An 18,861-nucleotide genomic window follows, 5' to 3' on the forward strand; every position below is an offset into this window, starting at 1 on the left:
ATTTATAGGTATAGAATCACATACATGGCTGCTCATGCAAACATGCACACACACATGCAAACAAGGCATCACACACCTAGGGTCACAGAACCAATATATTCTATATATTCTCTCACTTTCCTGGAACTACAACCATGGGAACAAATTCTTTTACGTAGGGCTCCAGCATCATAGGAGAACTGGGGGAACTTGGCATGGGTTATTGTCCCTCTGTGGATTCCATACTATGGAACATCAAGATGGTGATATAGGTCTCCTTTGCCCTTCCTTATTATGGGTATTGTCTGTTGGAGTTTATCACTACTTCATTTGTAAATACTAAGCATTCCTGTTTTCTATCCCCCTTAAACCTTGAAAGCTCAGTTTGGATATCACTTCTTTTGGGTAGCTTTTCTGCTTGTTGCATAACAAAACTGTCGTTCTAAGATTTCAATAGCTTCTCTGATACTATGGCAAAATTCAAAGTCCCTTTTTATGCTCACAAGACTCTTCAAGATCTTTTATCAACAATTCTGTCTCTCTCCACTCCCCAGCTTGCATGCTGTTTCATCCTTGTGAAGGCAGTATGGCTTAATGGTCAAGACTGCACAATCTGAAACTAAACTGCTCGGCTCACCTCAGGTATTTAGTAGCCCAGTGACCTTGGGCAAGTTACCTTCCTTTTATTTCTCATGTTCCTCACCTGTAAAATAGATGTAATTATGGTAGCCTTTATGATAGGGTGGTTGTGTTTGTATGGTTCCTGTAATCCTTTTCTCAGTCTCTAATTATTCTCCTATACCCTCCCACTATTCTATAACGTTATGAATTTTAGAGGTTATGTATGGGGAATCCTTGATACCCTAAATTCTGAAAAAGCTTTAGGCACATGAATGTTCTCAATAAATATTTCGTGTTTAAATGACTCTGAAAGGGAGACTCATACTCTGATAGTAATATCTGATACTGATGTCTAATACTATATTTTATAAATGTATATTTCCTCTTATATTCTGAACTGTTTCTTCCTCATAGTGTTGCCCAGCATAGAGTTTGTATTCACCTAGCATCAATAAGTAATTTTTGGAGTGATCACAGAATAATTATAATGGTAGTTCAGAAGATCTAAAAGTCTTGGAAATAACATCCATTTTCAAATGATTTCTCCGAGAGATTACTCCCTCCAAACCTTATCTAAAACAGAAAACAAAAAACAAAATTTAATTGAGAGATATTTTATCTATGGTCAACTTTCCTGCTGCAAGGTCTATGAAAGAAGAAAACAGAGTTTGATCTACACATTACAGAGTTTGACCTAAGGGATGCTAATATAACTGTGTCCTTTCATCATCACCCTGTGATCCACTTTATCTTTAGCAGCTTCCCTTGTAGGAAAATGACCTGAGCATACCACATCCTCAGCAGTCAGGCAGAGTTATTATTTTAGGGAATCAAAACCCAAACAGAACATGGAAATATTTTTAGGATGCTAGCAAAACACATATAAGAGTATACGTGTTTCACAGTATCCATGTATTCCAGAATTATCTTGCTGTATAAAAGTATTTTACTATGTAAGAAATGCAAATAATAAACGAAAAGGTGACTAATGCTTCCTCACTATAGATATTTGGCATTATAGGGCATTCAGGAAATGTACTAATATTACTAAATCATTTGTTCTGTAGAAACCCAGATATTTCACTCTTGTCTTACATTCTCATTGTCTTCCATCTTTGTTTTATATACCTATTGTCTTTTTCCAGAGTACTTTAGCCACTAAAGGCTAGAAAAAGGCAGTTCCTCACTAGCAGACATTAAGCCCTGAGCAGCAAGAATCACAGGCAATACATGGGTTGCAGAGCAGTATTGCCACAAAGAGGGATGTGGGGATGGTAGGGATTTCATTTCTCTAGAGCAATAAGCTCAACGTAAAATGGTTCCCAATTCTTACCTAAAGACTGTGCACCATCATCGTCTCTCATAACATCACTAAACAGCTAAATAGTGTCATTCACACCCTTCCCAACTGAAATAATGCCAAAGCTTTCCCAAGTTTATTCATCTGGATAAGAATGTGGGACAGCTGAGTAATTAGTCATAATGTCTCTTCTACTATTTAAGGTTCAATAATTGCTATTTAAAATAATGTTTAAATAAAATTTACAGACATTTAGATATGTTACATATAAAGGTTTCTTATATTAATATAATAAATTCCATATTTTTGAAATTCAGGATATACAGCTTACTCTATTTTGACTTTAAATATTCAATTATTTCTGAAATAGTGTGTTAACCATCTCTTAAAATGTAGCCAATATTAACTGTAATACACACCAGACACTTTGAAGAATTTCTTTAAATTTAAAATATTTTAGAAAAATTTTTGTAATGGAAAAGCTAAGAAAAATTTAAATATTTTAAGAATAGCCATTCTAACCAGTTTGAGGTAATATTTAGTTATGGTTTAACTCACACTTTCCTGGTGATTAGTTATAAGTGTTGGCAAGGATGTGGAGAAAAGATAACTCTTGTGCACTGTTGGTGGGAATGTTAAATTATTATAGTCATTATGGAAGCTCCTCAAAAACTAAATATAGAATTGCCATATGACCCAGCAAATTTACACTACTGGTTATAATATATCCATAAAGAAAGTGAAATCAGTACATCAAGAAGATAAGTGTACTCACATGTTCATTGTAGCACTATTTACAATAGCCATGATATGGAAAGAATCGAAGTGCCCATCAATAGATGAATGGAATAAAAATGTGTTTTGTATATATAAATATACACACACACACACACACACACACATATATAGTGTTCCATTGTGTATATATAGTTAGCCTTTAAAAAGTAGGAAATTCTGTCATTTGAGATAACACAGATGAATCTAGAGGATACTATGCTAAGTGAAATAAGCCAGGCACAGAAAGACAAATACCACCTGATCTCACATGTGGGATGTAAAGAAATGGAACTCATAGAGGTAGAGACTAGAATGTTGGTTACCAGATGCTAAGGGGGAGAGGAGAGTACAGGAAAGGAGAGTATTGGTAAAAGGGTACAAAGTTTCAGTTAGAAAGAATAAGTCCTAGTGATTGATTGAACAGCATGGTGACTATAGTTAATGATAGTGTATTGTATGTTTCCAAATTGCTAAAAGAATGAATTTTAAATATTTGTATCACAAATAAATGACAAGTATGTGAAGTGATGGCTATGTTAGCTTGATCTGAAGAGTCTTGAATCACTGATGCCACCTGCCCCAAACACCCCAGCAGTGGCTGCATGGCATGGAAAGAGAATGTGTGTGTGAGAGAGGGAGAGGACAGGGATTCTGAGACATTGCATTGAACTTACCCTGTCATGGTAGAAAGCAAAACTAAGCTGAAATCAGTTGATGCCTGCCCACAGAGGGAGTATTTAAATCAGCTCTAGCCAGAGGGAAATTGTTTACCTCAGCAGTCAGAACTTGAGTTTGAGCAAGACCTGCCACCATGGTCAAAAGTGCACTGGGACCTAAATAAACTTCAAATGCAGTCTAGGCCACAAGGACTACAAGTCCTAGATGAGTCCTACTGCTGAATTGGGCTCAGAGCCAGAGGATGTGGGTGGTATGTGACTATTGAGGCATCAAACAGGGTGGATGAAGGAGTGCTATGTCACCCCTTTTCCAAACCCAGGCTTCAGAGCTCATGCCTCCAAAGGAGATGCCTACCTTTCAACTGAGGAGATGAGAAGGAAGAATAAAGAGAACTTTGTCTTGCATCTTGGATACAAGCTCAGCCACATTAGGATAGAGCACTAGGCAGAGTCATAAGGCCCCTTTTCCAGGCCCTAGCTCCCAGATGACATTTCTAGATACACTTTGGCCAGAAGGGAGCCCACTGCCTTTAGGAAAAGGACTTTGTCCTAGCAGAATTCTTTGCCTGCAGGCTAAAGTGCCCTTGGCCCCTAAATAGTACGCCATGGACCTTGGGTAAAACTGAGACAAACTGACTTCAAATGAAACTTGGCATATTCCTAGCTGTGGTGGCTATGAGCAAAAACCGTTGCCTGAGACAATAGATAGAAAAGGAAGGGAACTTTGTCTTGCGCCTTAGGTACCAGATTGTCCACAGTGGGATGAAGCACCAAGGAGGCTCTTGGGATTTCCAAAGCCAGGATTTGGATTTTGGAAGACATTTCTGGACCTTCTCTGGGTCAGAGAGGAGACCTCAGCCTGAAGGATGAATCCCAGGCCAGGCAGCATTCACCACAAGCTGACTGAGGAACCCTTGGACCCTAAGGGAACATTGGCGGTAGGCTGGCAGTACTCCCTGTGGGCCTGCGGTGGTGGGTAAAGCTCCTTTGCCTGTGGAACTGGGAGAAAAAAAGTGAGAAAAACTGCATCTCATTGTTTGTCAGCTCATCCATAGCACAATAGGACAATAGATAGACTGCTAACATTTTGACTCCAGTCCCTGGTTCGTGGCTAGCACCTCATGAATAACCTGGGGCCTGGGGGAAATAACTGCCCAGGTAGCCAGGTAGTTGTTTCAGCAGGTGTTGGGCAAGATCCTGGCTTCAGGTATGACCCAGCACAGTCCCAGTGACCACAGGGGTGCTTGTGTCACCTCATCCCCAGTTGCAGGTGGCTCAGAAAGAGAGAGAAACATTTTTTTGTGAGAAAGTAAGGGAAGAGAATAAGAGTGTCTGCCTGGCAATCTATAGATTTCTTCTGGATCTTATTCAAGACGATCAAGGTGGTACCTCTATGACTGTGCAAGAACCACAGGATAACTGGGCTTGGGGTGGCCCCCAATAGAAACACAACTTATAACACAACACCTTATTCCTTTTGAATATTTGGAAAGCTTTCCCAAGAAGGACAGGTACAAACAAGCCCAGACTGTGAAGACCACAGTAAATACCAAACCCTTCAATGCTCAGGCATAGATGGACATACACAATAATCAAGATCATCCAGGAAGATATGAACTCACCAAATGAACCAAATAAAGTACCAGGGACCAATCCTAGAGAACAGACATATGTGACCTTTCAGACAGAGAATTCAAATCAGCTGTTTTGAGGAAACTCAATGAAATTTTAAGATAACACAGAAGGAATTCAGAATTCTATCAGATAGATTTGCCACAGATATTAAAATAATTAAAAGGTTTAAAGGAGAAATTCTGAAACTGAAAAATTCAATTGAAATACTGAAGAAGGCATCAGAATATTTTTCTAGCAAAACTGGTCAAGCAGACGAAAAAATTAGTGAGATTGAGCATGGGCTACTTAAAAATACATAGAAAATACAAAAGAAAAAAGAAAGCCAAGAAGCATGCCTATCTTATCTAGGAAACAGCTTCAAAAGGGAAAATCTAAGAGTTATTGGCCTAATAGCAGAGGTAGAGAAAGAGATAGGGGTAGAAGTACATTCAAAGGGATAATAACAAAGAACTTCCTAAACCTAGAGAAGGATATCAATATCCAAGTATGAGAAGGATATAGAACACCAAAAAGATTGAACCCAAAGAAGACTACCTCAAGGTATTTAATAATCAAATTCCAAAATGTCAAGGATAAAGAAAGAACTCTAAAAGCAGCAAGAGAAGAGAAACAAATAACTTTCAATGCCATTCCAATACATCAGTCAGCAGACTTTTCAGTGGAAACCTTACAGGCCAGGAGAGAGTGGCATAACATGTTTGAAGTGCTGAAGGAAAACAAACAAACAAAAAAACTCTTTATCCTGGAATAATATATCCACAGGAAATATACTTCAAATATGAAGGAGAAATAAAGACTTTCCCAGACAAACAAAAGCTGAGAGATTTCATCAACAACTGAACTATTCAACAAGAAATACTAAAGAGAGTACTTCAATCAGAAAAAAAAAAGATGTTAATAAGTGAAAGGAAATTACCAGAGGTACAAAACTCATTGATGATAGTAAGTATGGAGAAAAACACAGAATAGTACAACAGTGTAACTGTAGTTTCTAAACTATTCTTATCTAAACAATAACCCAATCAAAAATAACTACTATGACTTTTCAAGACATAGACAATACAATAAAATATAAATTGAAACAACAAAAGTTAAACACTGGGAAAATAAAGCTAACATGTACAATTTTTATTAGTTTATTTGCTTGTTTATTTTTTATACAAACAGTGTTAACTTGTTATCAGGTTAAAGTGATGGGTCCTAACATAGTATTTGCGAGGTTTATGGTAACCTCAAATCAAAAAACTTACAACAGATACACAAAAAATAAAAATCAAGAAATTAAATCATACTGCCAAAGAAAATTACTTTCTCTAAAAGAAAGACATGAAGGGAAGAAAAAAAAGAAGTGAAGACCACAAAACAATAAAAAATAACAAAATGGCAGGAGTAAGTTCTTACTCATCAATAATAACATTGAATGTAAATAGACTAAACTCTCAGATCAAAAGACGGAATGGTCAAATGGATAAAAAGCAAGACCCAATGATCAGTTGCCTACTAGAAACTCACTTCACCTATAAAAACACATATATACTGAAAGTAAAAAGATGTAAAAAGATATTCTGTGCCAATGGAAATCAGAAAAGAGCAAGAATAATTATACTTATGCAAAACAGTTTTCAAGACAAAAACTATTAGAAGAGCAAAGAAGGTCACTATATAATAATAAAGAGTCAATTCAGCAGGAGAATGTAACAATTGTAATTATATATGAACCCAACACTGGAACACCAAGATATATAAAACAAATATAATTAGAGCTGAAGAGGAAGATAGACCTCAATTTAAAAAAATATCTGGAGATGTCAACACCCTGTTTCATCATTCTATAGGTCATCCAGACAGAATATCAACAATGAAATATTAGACTGAATCAGCCCTACAGACTAAATGGACCTAATAAATATTTACAGAACATTTCATCTAATGGCTTCAGAATATTCATTCTTTCCCTCAGTACCTGGACCATTCTCAAGGCTAGATTATATATTAGGCCAGAAAACAAGTCTTTAGACATTCCAAAAAACTGAAATAATATCAAGTATCTTCTCTAAACACCATGGCATAAAACTAGAAATCAATAGCAAGAGCAATTTTTGAAAGTATACCAACACATGGAAATTAATCAATATACTCCTGAGTGACCAGTGGGTCAATGAAGAATTAAAAAGAAAATTGAAAATTTCCTGGAAACAAATTATAATGGAAACACAATATACCAAAACCTATGAGATACAGCAAAAGCAATACTAGGAAGGAAGTTAATAGCTGTAAGGGCCTACATCAAAAAACAGGAAAACCATCAAATAAACAACCTAACTGCATTGTAAAGAATTAGAAAAGCAAGAGCAAACCAAACATGAAATTAGTAGAAGAAAAGAAATAATAAAGATCAGAGCAGAAATAAATGAATTTGAAATGAAGAAAACAATACAAAAGATAAATGAAACAAAAACTTTTTTTTTGAAAAAGTAAAGAAAATTAACACACTTTTAGTGAGACTAAGAGAAAAATACAGAAGATCCAAATAATAAATTAAGAGATGAAAAAGGGGAAATAGCAACTGATATCACAGAAATTCGAAGACTCATTAGTGGCTAATATGTGCAACTATATGCTAATATATTGGGAAATCTAAAGGAAATGGATAAATTCCTTGACACTCAGAACCTACCAAGATTAAATGATGAAGACATTCAAAACCTAAACAGACCAATATCAAGTAACAATATCAAAGCTATAATAACAAGTTTCTCAGCAAAGAAAAGCCCAGGACTTGATGGTTTCATTGCTGAATTCTACCAAATATTTAAAGAAGAACTAATACCAATTCTACTCAAACTATTTCAAAATATAGAAGAGGAGGGAATACTTCCAAATGCATTCTGCAAGACTGGTATTACTCTGAAACCAAAACCAAAAAAAGACACCTCAAAAATAATTAAAAAATAAAACTACAGGCCAATATCCCTGATGAATATTGATGCAAAAATTGTTAGCAAAATACTAGCAAACCAAATTCAACAAGATAATGAAAAGATTATTCATTATGACCAAGTATGATTAATCCCAGGGATGCAAGGATTGTTCAACATATACAAATCAATTAATGTGTCACATCATATCAACAGAAATAAGGACAAAACCATATGATGTCAATTAATGCTGCAAAGCATTTGATAAAATGCAACATCCTTTCATGATAAAAACCTTCAAAAAACTAGGAGTAGAAGGAACATATCTCAACATAATGAAAGCCACACCTGGCTTTTATTAGGCTCATAGCTAGTATTATTCTGAATGGAGAAAAAGTGAAAGTCTTTAAGGTCAGAAACATGACAAGAATGCCCACTTGCACCCCTATTATTCAACATAGGACTGGAAGTCTTAGCTAGAGCAAACATGCTAGAGAAAGAAATAAAGGGCATCCAAATTGGAAAGGAAGAAGTCAGATTATCCTTGTTAGCAGATGATATAATCTTATACTTGAAAAAACCTCAAGACTCTACCAAGACAAACAATTAGAACTAATAAATAAATTCAGTAAAGTTGCAGGATACCATTCAATGAACAAAAATAAGTAGGATTTCTAGCCTTGAGAATGGTCCAGGTACTGAGGGAAAGAATGAATATTCTGAAGCCATTAGATGAAATGTTCTGTAAATATTTATTAGGTCCATTTAGTCTGTAGGGCTGATTCAGTCTAATATTTCATTGTTGATATTCTGTCTGGATGACCTATAGAATGATGAAACAGGGTGTTGACATCTCCAGATATTTTTTTAAATTGAGGTCTATCTTTCTCTTCAGCTCTAATTATATGCCAACAGCAAACAATCTGAAAAGGAAATCAAGAAAATAACCCTATTTACAATAGCTGCAATATAATACAATTTCTAGAAATTAACTAAAGAAGTCAAAGATCTCTACAGTAAGAAGTATAAAACATTGATGCAAGAAACTGAAGACAACACACAAAAATGGAAGGATATTCCATGTTTATAGATTGAAAGAATCAATGTTGTTAAAATATCTATACTACCCAAAGCAATTTATAGATTTATTGTATTTCCCGTTAAAAAAATAATGAAATTCTTCACAGAAACAGAAAAAATTCTAAAGTTTATATGAAGCCATGAAAGACCTAGAATAGCCAAAGCTATCCTAAACAAAGGAGAAAAAAAAAACTGAAGGAATCATATTACCTTACTTGAAATTATACTACAGAGATACAGTACCCACAATGACATGGTACTGGAAGAAAAATGGACAAATATATCAGTAGAATGGAATACGGATCCAAGAGATAAATCCATACATCTACAGTAAACTCATTTTTGACAATGGTGCCAAGAACAAACATTGGGGAATGTACTGTCTCTTCAATAAAGATGCTGGGAAAACTGGATATCTATACACAGAAGAATGAACGTTGACCCTCTATCTCTTTCTCTATACAAAAATCAAATCAAAATGAATTAAAGACTTAAATCTAAGACATCAAACTACTAGAAGAAAATACTGGAGAAACTATCCAGGACATTGGATTTGGCAAAGATTTATTGAGGAATCAACCTCAAGCACAGGCAACCAAAGCAAAAATGGACTAACAGGATCCTATTAAATTAAAAATCTTCTGCATAGCAAAGGAAACAATCAACAGGGTGAAGAGACAACCCACAGAATGAGAGAAAATATTTGCAAACTACCAATCTGACAAATTATCAATAATCAGAATACATAAGGAGTTCAATTGTATAGGAAAAAAGATATCTGATTTTTTAAAAAATGGGCAACATATCTGATAGATATGTCTCAAAAGGAGAGCTACAAATGGCAAACAGGTATATGAGAAGGTGCTCAACCTCACTGACCATCAGAGAAATGGAAATCATAACTACAATGAGATATCATCTCAAATGATATATCTCAAAAAGATATCATTTCAAATGATATATCTCAAAAAGATATATCATTTGAGATATCATCTCAAATAAAATGGCTTTTATTTAAAAGACACGCAATAACAAAGGCCGGTGAGGATGTGCAGAAAAGGGAACCCTCATACACTGTGGAAATGTAAATTAGTACAACTACTATGGAGAACTGTTTGGAGGTTCTTTAAAACTAAAAAGACAGCTACCATGTGATCCAGCAATTCCACTGTTAGATATATACTCAAAAAAAAAGAAAATAAACATCATGAAGAAATATCTGCACTACCATATTTATTGCATCATTGTTTACAATAGCCAAGATTTGGAAGCAACCTAAGTGTCCGTCAACAGAAGGAAACATAAAGAAAATATGGTACATTGACACAACAAAGTACTATTCAGCCATTAAAATAAAGAGATGCTGTCATTTGCAACAACATGGATGGAACTGAAGGTCATTATGTTAAGTGAAATTATCTAGCCATAGAAACAAAAACTTGACATGTTCTCACTTGCTTCTGGGAGTTAAACATTAAAATAATTAAACTCATGGAGACAGAGAGTAACAGGATGGGTATCAGAGGCTGGGAAAGGGTATTGTGGTGGTGGCGAGAAGGAAGTGGAGATGGTTAATGGGTATGAAATGTAGTTAGCAAGAATGAATAAGACCTACCATTTGCTAGCAAAACAGGGTGACTATAGTAAAAAAAAAATTATTGTACATTTACAAATAACTAAAAATGTGTAATTAGATTGTTTGTAACACTAACGATAAATTTTTGGGGTTATGGATACCTCTTTTACCCTGATGAGATTATGACACATTGCATGTCTGTGCCAAAAGTTTTCATGTACTTCATAAATATACCTACTATGTACCCACAAAAATTAATTAAAAATTTTTAACTATTAAATTATTTTAACTAAATTGCATGTGGGAATTAATTTATTAAATAAGTTTGTTTAAGCTTCTTTTTATTCTTTGTTCAGAATGCCTCAAAACATTCACCAAGTCTCCAAAACGTTGGCATGGCACACATTCCTCACAAACCATAAGAAGTTACAGGCCTTCTATACAAAAGGTCAACAAGCTTCTTTAAGTAGCTAAGTAGTAAATATCTTAAAATTGTGAGTTTTATGGTTTCTGCAGAAAGTATTTAACACTCTCTTGCAGCAGGAAAGCAGTCTATGGCTGCTTGCTTGTAAACCAATAAGGATGGCTCTGGTCTAATAAAACTTTATTTACAAAAACAGGCAACAGACAGGAATTGGTATATGGTCCATATTTCAATGACGTCTGCTCTAAACCCTTGCCCTTCAACCTTTAAAATGCATATTAACCTCATGCATTGATGAAGTTTGTTTTGATAAAGTTGTAACAGGATGTTATAATCCAGTTTTTAATCTGGAATATCTTTGACAATGTCTATCTCTAGAGTGCTACTCCATAAATAATCCCAAGGTATCATGTGCTATTACCTGAAGCTATTACACACATTGACAAGACAATGGCACATGAGACTTTGAATCACATGCCAAAACATGCCTTGAAAATTGATGGTGCGTATGTATGTATGTGTGTACATAAGTTTGTAAAAGAGTACAAATTTTTGTCATTTCTTCTGAAAATTTTCATGCACAAACCCTTATTTGTATTATTTATTAATCGTATAATGACATTAACCCTATAACCAATAATCCCTAAATTTTTCTTAATTTCCCTAGGTAGGAAAGCACAGCCATCTCTTCTCTTTTCTCCTAAGCAACACTCTAATTTTGTCTTACACCTCAATATTATTTATAAGTTTAGTAGAAGTACGAGATACAAAATCTGGCTTTATATATCCTGTGTAGTCAAAGCTTTTTTTATTTTTATTTTTAAATTAGATATGCATATACATATACATACTTTCAAAGTCTTTGTGAAAAAAATTATTCAAAGATTGAAAGAATATAGGCCTATATTAATAGCTAAAATGTATAGCCCATACTCAGTATCAGGTACTGTGAAAGCATTTGGTGTGAATTAGTTCATGTAATATCACAACTGATGGGGTCAGTACTCATTAGAGGCCAATTTCATATATTAGAAACATAAACCTATGTAAGTTAAAATAAAATACTAAAATGTTCAGAGCTATGTATCAAACTCAATCTCTAAGACACCATAAAGATTATAGTGCTTGAAGGTACGCCACGATATAATGTGACAAGTAGGTTAGGCAATGAAATACAATATCTTACTTCATCTGAAGCTACTCATCTTTTTAAATGTTAATAATAGTTTCTTTTGGGAAACTTGGGATGTCACGCTTCTACACAACAAATATTGCTTGGCTAAGTTTATCTTCAGCTACAAAATGCATGTATAAAGATTTTCAATTGTGCCTTTTGGGGTAAGGATAAGTAAATGAAATAGTGAATGTATTAAAATATACGTATATATATCATACTTAAGCACCTAGTATTGTTGAAAAGTAGAGAAGAATTTCATATTAGCAAAACTATATCAAATGGTCTTAGTTTTAAACAGGTTTAATAGCATGTTACTGGTAGAAAACAAAAACAAAAACAAAAGTACACACACATAGACCAATGGAACAGAATAGAGAAACCAGAAATAACACTGCATCTGATCTGCACAGCCATCTGGTCTTGGACAAAGTTGACAAAAATAAGCAATGGGGATAGAATTCCCTATTCCATAACGCTGGGATAGCTGACTAGCCCTATGCAGAAAACTGAAACTGTACTTTAACTTTTCACCATATGCAAAAGTTAACTCCAGATGGATTAAATCCTTAAATGTAAGCCCTCAAACTGTAAAAATCTTAGAAGAAAACCTAGAAAACACCATTCTGGACATCAGCCTTGGAAAATAATTTATGATTAAGTCTTCAAAAGTAATAGCAAGAAAAACAAAAATTCACAAGCGGGACTTGATTAAACTAAAGAATTTTGTGTAACAAAAAAGAAAAAAGCCATCTACAGAGTAGACAGACAACCTACTGAATGAGAGAAGATAGTTGCAAACAATATATAGAATCTCGGCAAAAGACATAATCAGGCACTTATCAAAAGAAGACATGTAAGTGGCCAAAAAGCATATGAAAACATGCTCTACATCACTAATCATTTGTTTTGTGCAAATCAAAACTGCAATCAGATACCATCTCACACCAATTAGAATGTCTATTATTAAAAAGTCAAAAAACAACAGATGCTGGTGAGGCTGGAGAGAAAAGGGAACACTTACACACTGTTGGTGGGAATGTGTATTAGTTTAGCCACTGTGGAAAGCAATTTGGAGATGTCTCAAAGAACTTAGAACAGACCTACCATTTGACCCAGCAATCCCATTACTGATTATATATCCAAAAGAAAATAAATTGTTCTACCAAAAAGACCATGTACTTGTGTGTTTATTGCAGCACTATTCACAAAAGCAAAGAAATAGGACCAATCTAAGTGCCCATCAACAGTAGACTGGATAAAAAAGAAAATGTTGCTTATATATAGACCATGGAATACTATGCAGCCATAAAAAAGAATAAAATCATGCCCTTTGCAGCAACATGGATGCAGCTAGAAGCCATTATACTCAGCAAATTAATGCAGGAACAGACAAGGAAACATTGCATGTTCATGTTCTTACTTACAAGTAGGGACTAAGCATTGAGTAGGCATGGACATAAAGATGGGAACAATAGACACTCAAGGGTACCAGAAAGTGGAGAGAGGAATGGCCGCAAAGGCTGAAAACTATCTATTGTGTACCATGCTCACTATCTTCATGACAGGACCATTCACACCCCAAACACCTCAGTGTCACACAATACACCCATGTAACAAACTTGCACATGTATTCCCTGAATCCAAAATAAAAGTTGAAATTATTAAAAAGAAAGAAGTAAAACATGAACAGATTTAGGCAGGACTATCTGAGAGAAGTCTAGCGCATTTGATGGAGACAAGTGCAAAGGGAATTAAATTTAACAGAAAAGAGGAAACATAAAGGTAAATATACAGCAAAATGACATTAATATAATAAGAATAGTAGTGGAAAACATTAATATATGTTGTCTATATAAACCAATCATTTATGTGGCACTTAAGCACACAATTTATGTATCAAAGAACCATTTGTTTATTCAAAAATATTTATGGTTTTGTTGACTCTGTCTGCATGGTCTGAGGCTGGGTTCTGAACAATTCAAGAGCTTGGAGGCCTTCTAACAGGACTGGCTACAGGGCAATGCAAAGTCAATCAAGAGACCATCCAGTGGCTCTTGGAGGAAAATGACCAGCTAAGGTGTTGTATCACGGAACATCAGAACAAGAGCTAGGCAGGAGAGCATCCAGAACCAGCATACCTTACATAGAAGTCTTGTTTACTTGGCTACCATACAGACACCTGCCTAACCATGCTTCAAAAGTAATGGTTAATCTTCCAGTTGGTGGTTGTAAGTAATCGAATATATCTCCTTTGAAATATGACTGGATTTTTATCAACTCAACTGCTTAAGAGATGAATGAAACCGCTATGGGTTTCTTTAAGAAAACGGGAAAATGTGTGGCTGGGCGCGGTGGCTCACGCCTGTAATCCCAGCACTTTGTGAGGCCAAGGCAGGTGGATCATGAGGTCAGATTGAGACCATCCTGGCTAATATGGTGAAACCCTGTCTCTACTAAAAATACAAAAAAATTAGCCGGGCATGGTGGAACATGCCTGTAGTTCCAGCTACTCAGGAGGCTGAGGCAGGAGAATCACTTGAACCCAGGAGGTGGAGGTTGCAGTGAGATGAAAAATAAAAAAAGGGAAAATGTGAAGAAAGCTGCTAAGACAACTATATTCTCATCACAAATATTTATTTTATTAATTTATCAGATTCTTTAATGAGTAGACCTGGATGTGTTCTTTTCTGAAGTGAGCAAAGACAGGATGGGTAACTTCAAGCATACCTTTTTAGTTTCAAACAGAAAAGGGAACTGAGTAAGTGTCGAACAGCAGGAATTGGTGAGACTCATAATGACATGTGGAGCACGTGACAGTTAAGACTAAAAAGGGTAGCAGTGCCCATGTTAAAAAGTTCCCTGTACAACGTAGCAGGAAATTTTATTTTATAGACAGCAGTTAAGTATTCTATATTTACGTACAAAGATTAGTGGATAAAACATGTGTTTTTGAAAGGTCACTCATGCTCCAATGTAAAGACAGAATGAGAGAAAGATGAGATTAAGATAGGAAGAGCAATTAGGAAACACTTTAAATAAACTAGGCCAAAAAATAACAGTGGCTTAGAGGAAAGTGCAGTCAGTGAGAATAAAAAGAAGTGGACAGAATAAAGAGATCTGACACAGATATTGAATATTAAGCACATCAGGGTGTTGAGGGACAGGTGAAAATCATGAATTCCTTTATTAATTCCTTCAACAAATATCTGTTGAACTCCTATTTTATGCTTATCAACTTTGTAGACACATGGTGACCATGAATAAACAAGAGAGAGAAAAAAAATCGCTGACATCATGAGAGTTGTATTTTAGGGAAATACAGATAATATATATAATAGATAGAAATCAATAATACATTTGAAAATAATAAGCAATACAGGCACGAAAGCAAAGAACAAGTAAATAACATTAAGGTTAAAAGTTTTGGGAGGAGAAGAGTTTGTCTCACGAAATATGGACAATTCTTTCAAAAGAATTTATTGTAATGGGGAGAAAAGTAATGGAGTGGGACCTTTAAAAAGGAACTGCAGTTAAGAGAATGCCTTTTCTCTGGTAAAATATGAGTAAGAATATAATTTTTTGTGCATATGGAAAAGATAAAGTGGTTAATAAAAAAATTAAGATGCAAGGGAGTGAGAAGGAAAAACTGTTGAAGCAATGTCTTTGAATCAGTAAGAGAGGATGATGTATAGTGCACCAGTCACATGAATTCAATCTTTCAGATTCACTTAACTAGATGAATAATGGCCCCATTCACTGGACCAAGATACACAGGAAGAAAATTCTGGAAAGAATAAACATAAACTCACATTTAGATGTATTATAAAAGTGTCATCCTTATGAAATGTGTATGTATCTCTATACTTTTAACTAGGGCAAGAGTTCAAATAGTGTTTAAAATATAACGTGCTAAATGCTTAAAATTTGCATATTAAACTAATCAACAACTAAATAATATTTGTTTTATTCTCCTAACTTGACAACCATACATTCGCACTGGAAAAATAGAAAGTACAACAGAGTGACTATAATCAATAGTAATTTAATTGTTCACTTTCAAATACCTAAAAGAGTATAACTGAATTGTTTGCAACATAAAGGATAAGTACTAGAGGGGATGGATACCTTGTTTATCATGGTGGGATATCATTTATTCTTTGTTCAGAATGCCTCAAAACATTTACCCAGATTCTTACATGTTGCATGCCTGTATCAAAGTATCTCATGTAACTCATAAATCTATATACCTGCTGTATACACACACAAAAATAAAGAAAATAGAAAGAATGAGTTATAAGCTTTTGGTATATAGCCAAAGCTGGCAAAATTGTGAAGACAACTGGATTATTTAGATCTATATAGTATCCCTTAGGTTTATCTTCTATAATATTTTAATCATTATTCTAACAAAGATAATAGCACTATATTACTCATTGGTTTAAAAACTTCTGAACTTATTCAAATATTTTCCCATTGAGATTTCACCTTAATCTATAGTGCTCAGATATAGTTTCTAACTAGACTGCAGTCTAGTTTACATTTAATTTCTCCTTCATCATCATTTTGGCTTCTTTTCTAAATTCTTGTTTTTGTTTTGTTTTGTTTTGTTGTTGTTGTTTTTGAGATGGAGTCTTGCTCTGTCACCCAGGCTGGAGTGCAGTGGCATGATCTTGGCTCACTGCAACCTCCGCCTCCCAGGTTCAGGTGATTCTCCTGCCTCAGCCTCCAGAGCAGCTGGGATTATAAGCACGTGCTACCAAGCCTGGCTATTTTTTTGTATTTTTAGTAGAGACAGGATTTCACCATGTTGGTCAAGTTGGTCTCGAACTCCTGATCTCGTAATATGCCCGCCTCGGCTTCCCAAAGTGCTGAGATTACAGACGTTAGCCACCGCGCCCGGCCATTTTCTAAATTCTTAAAAATGTTATTGGAATAAAATCTTGGTGCACATTTCATATGTAACTCTTTTGATTCACAAAAACTTAATTTCTACAAGATTAACAAATATTTTAAAAATTATTTAAAATTAAAATATCCGCATTAGAATAGTCATTTTAAGCTATTGCAATATATTTAGCATATATATAAATATAATATTCTATATCATTAAATATATAGTATAAATAATATATGTAAATGATATATGTGTTATATACATATTCCAAAACTACGTCACAGTCATTAATTGAGTAGTGTAAATCTAAGACAATCTCATTTAGAATTCTTATAATTCTCTCTTCATATAAGGGATAGTTTTTTTTTCTTAAATCCTTTAGTTTATTTAGTGTCTCATCTAATGTAAATCCTATTGAGTCAAGAGTATTTAAAAGGCATCCTCTCTGAGTTTTTATAATATTTTTGAGATATGATGTGATCATAAAGATATTCTGACTGTAAGTGGGTCCAGAAATATCCTATGTAATTTTTTAATTGATATAAACATTGCAATGGCTATTCATCTATTGATCTTATGTCTCATAGTGACAAATTTAAACTATGTGCCGACAATGAAAAAAAAAATTTCTGGACTTTTTGCCAAAATTTAACTGACACTAAAACACTAATTTTTCATTACCATCTCCCTTAGAGCCATTAATACAATTTGAAAGACTTTTATTTAAACAACACTAAAATTGTAATTTATAAAATGTTAATGTATTACATAATTTGTTGAATATAAAACTATTCACAATTCTTATATTTAATATCATGTAATTGTCAAAGAAAAAACTCAAATAACTATATATATGCATATGTATATATACACAGTCACATATATACACATGTATATTTATAAATTATTTAAAATTCCAAAATCTTTCCCAGCCATCATGTTCAATGTTTATAAATGTTACATTCATTGAGTGTCTCTGGAACCAATAAGTAGAGCATGGAGATAATCAAGAAAATTGATGCTTGACTCTACTGGAAAATAATACTTTGTTTTGCAAGAATTATTAATTTGTTTGCTCTAAGAGGAAATATTTGAAAAGTTAAAATATGTGCCTTTTCACTTTGTTAATTAAACTAGTCCTGAATTCTGAAGTGGTGTCTCTCCACATCATTGGCAAAGATACAACCAATGTCTCTTCACAGCATTCTTATGGCAGCATTCGTTCCTAGGAAATAGAACAAGCAATTTATTTCTCTCTCTCTCTCTCTCTCTCTCTCTGTGTGTGTGTGTGTGTGTGTGTGTGTTACTATTTGTGTGTATATGTTCATATACATGTGTGTATGATATACTGGCCCTTTTCGGCTTGGGATCCATGTCAGCAGATGCTCTTGCCTGAGTGTAAGGGAACCAACAAATGAAAAAGAATAGGCTGAATATAGAATGTAAATATAAAAAATGTAGCATATAAAACTGAAACTATTGGAATTAGTTTCATAACAAATGAAGAGTGAAAAGAAAAAAAATAAATGTTTCAGGGAAAAATATATTAGAAATGAATAGAAAATTAAAGTCCATAAAAAAATTACAGAGATCAACATGGGAAGTGGGAAGAAAGATCATATGGAACCACTTACTGTAAAATGGGAGAATTTTAATGAGGTAAATGAATAAATGCTGCAGAAATGTCTAATAAGATAATATCCAGAAATAATTTTATGTAGAAGAATACTATTAGTTGTCTGCCTGACAGCATTTTCCCAATTTGTTCTTTGTAGTAAGAATCTCATTTTGAGAATATAAATA

General features: G+C 34.3%; 1 long non-coding RNA gene across 1 annotated transcript in view; it reads left to right on the forward strand.

Annotated features, from left to right (window-relative positions):
- The first annotated feature begins 543 nt into the window (after positions 1 to 543).
- LOC105370284 (uncharacterized) overlaps positions 544 to 18,861 on the forward strand; it is a 43,873-nt gene continuing 25,555 nt past the window's right edge. The window contains exon 1 of the long non-coding RNA XR_001750061.1: positions 544 to 621. This is a non-coding gene — a long non-coding RNA (uncharacterized LOC105370284). The remainder of the gene's footprint in view (positions 622 to 18,861) is intronic.

This window comes from Homo sapiens, chromosome 13 (assembly GCF_000001405.40).
Source record: "Homo sapiens chromosome 13, GRCh38.p14 Primary Assembly".
Lineage (NCBI taxonomy): Eukaryota > Metazoa > Chordata > Mammalia > Primates > Hominidae > Homo > Homo sapiens.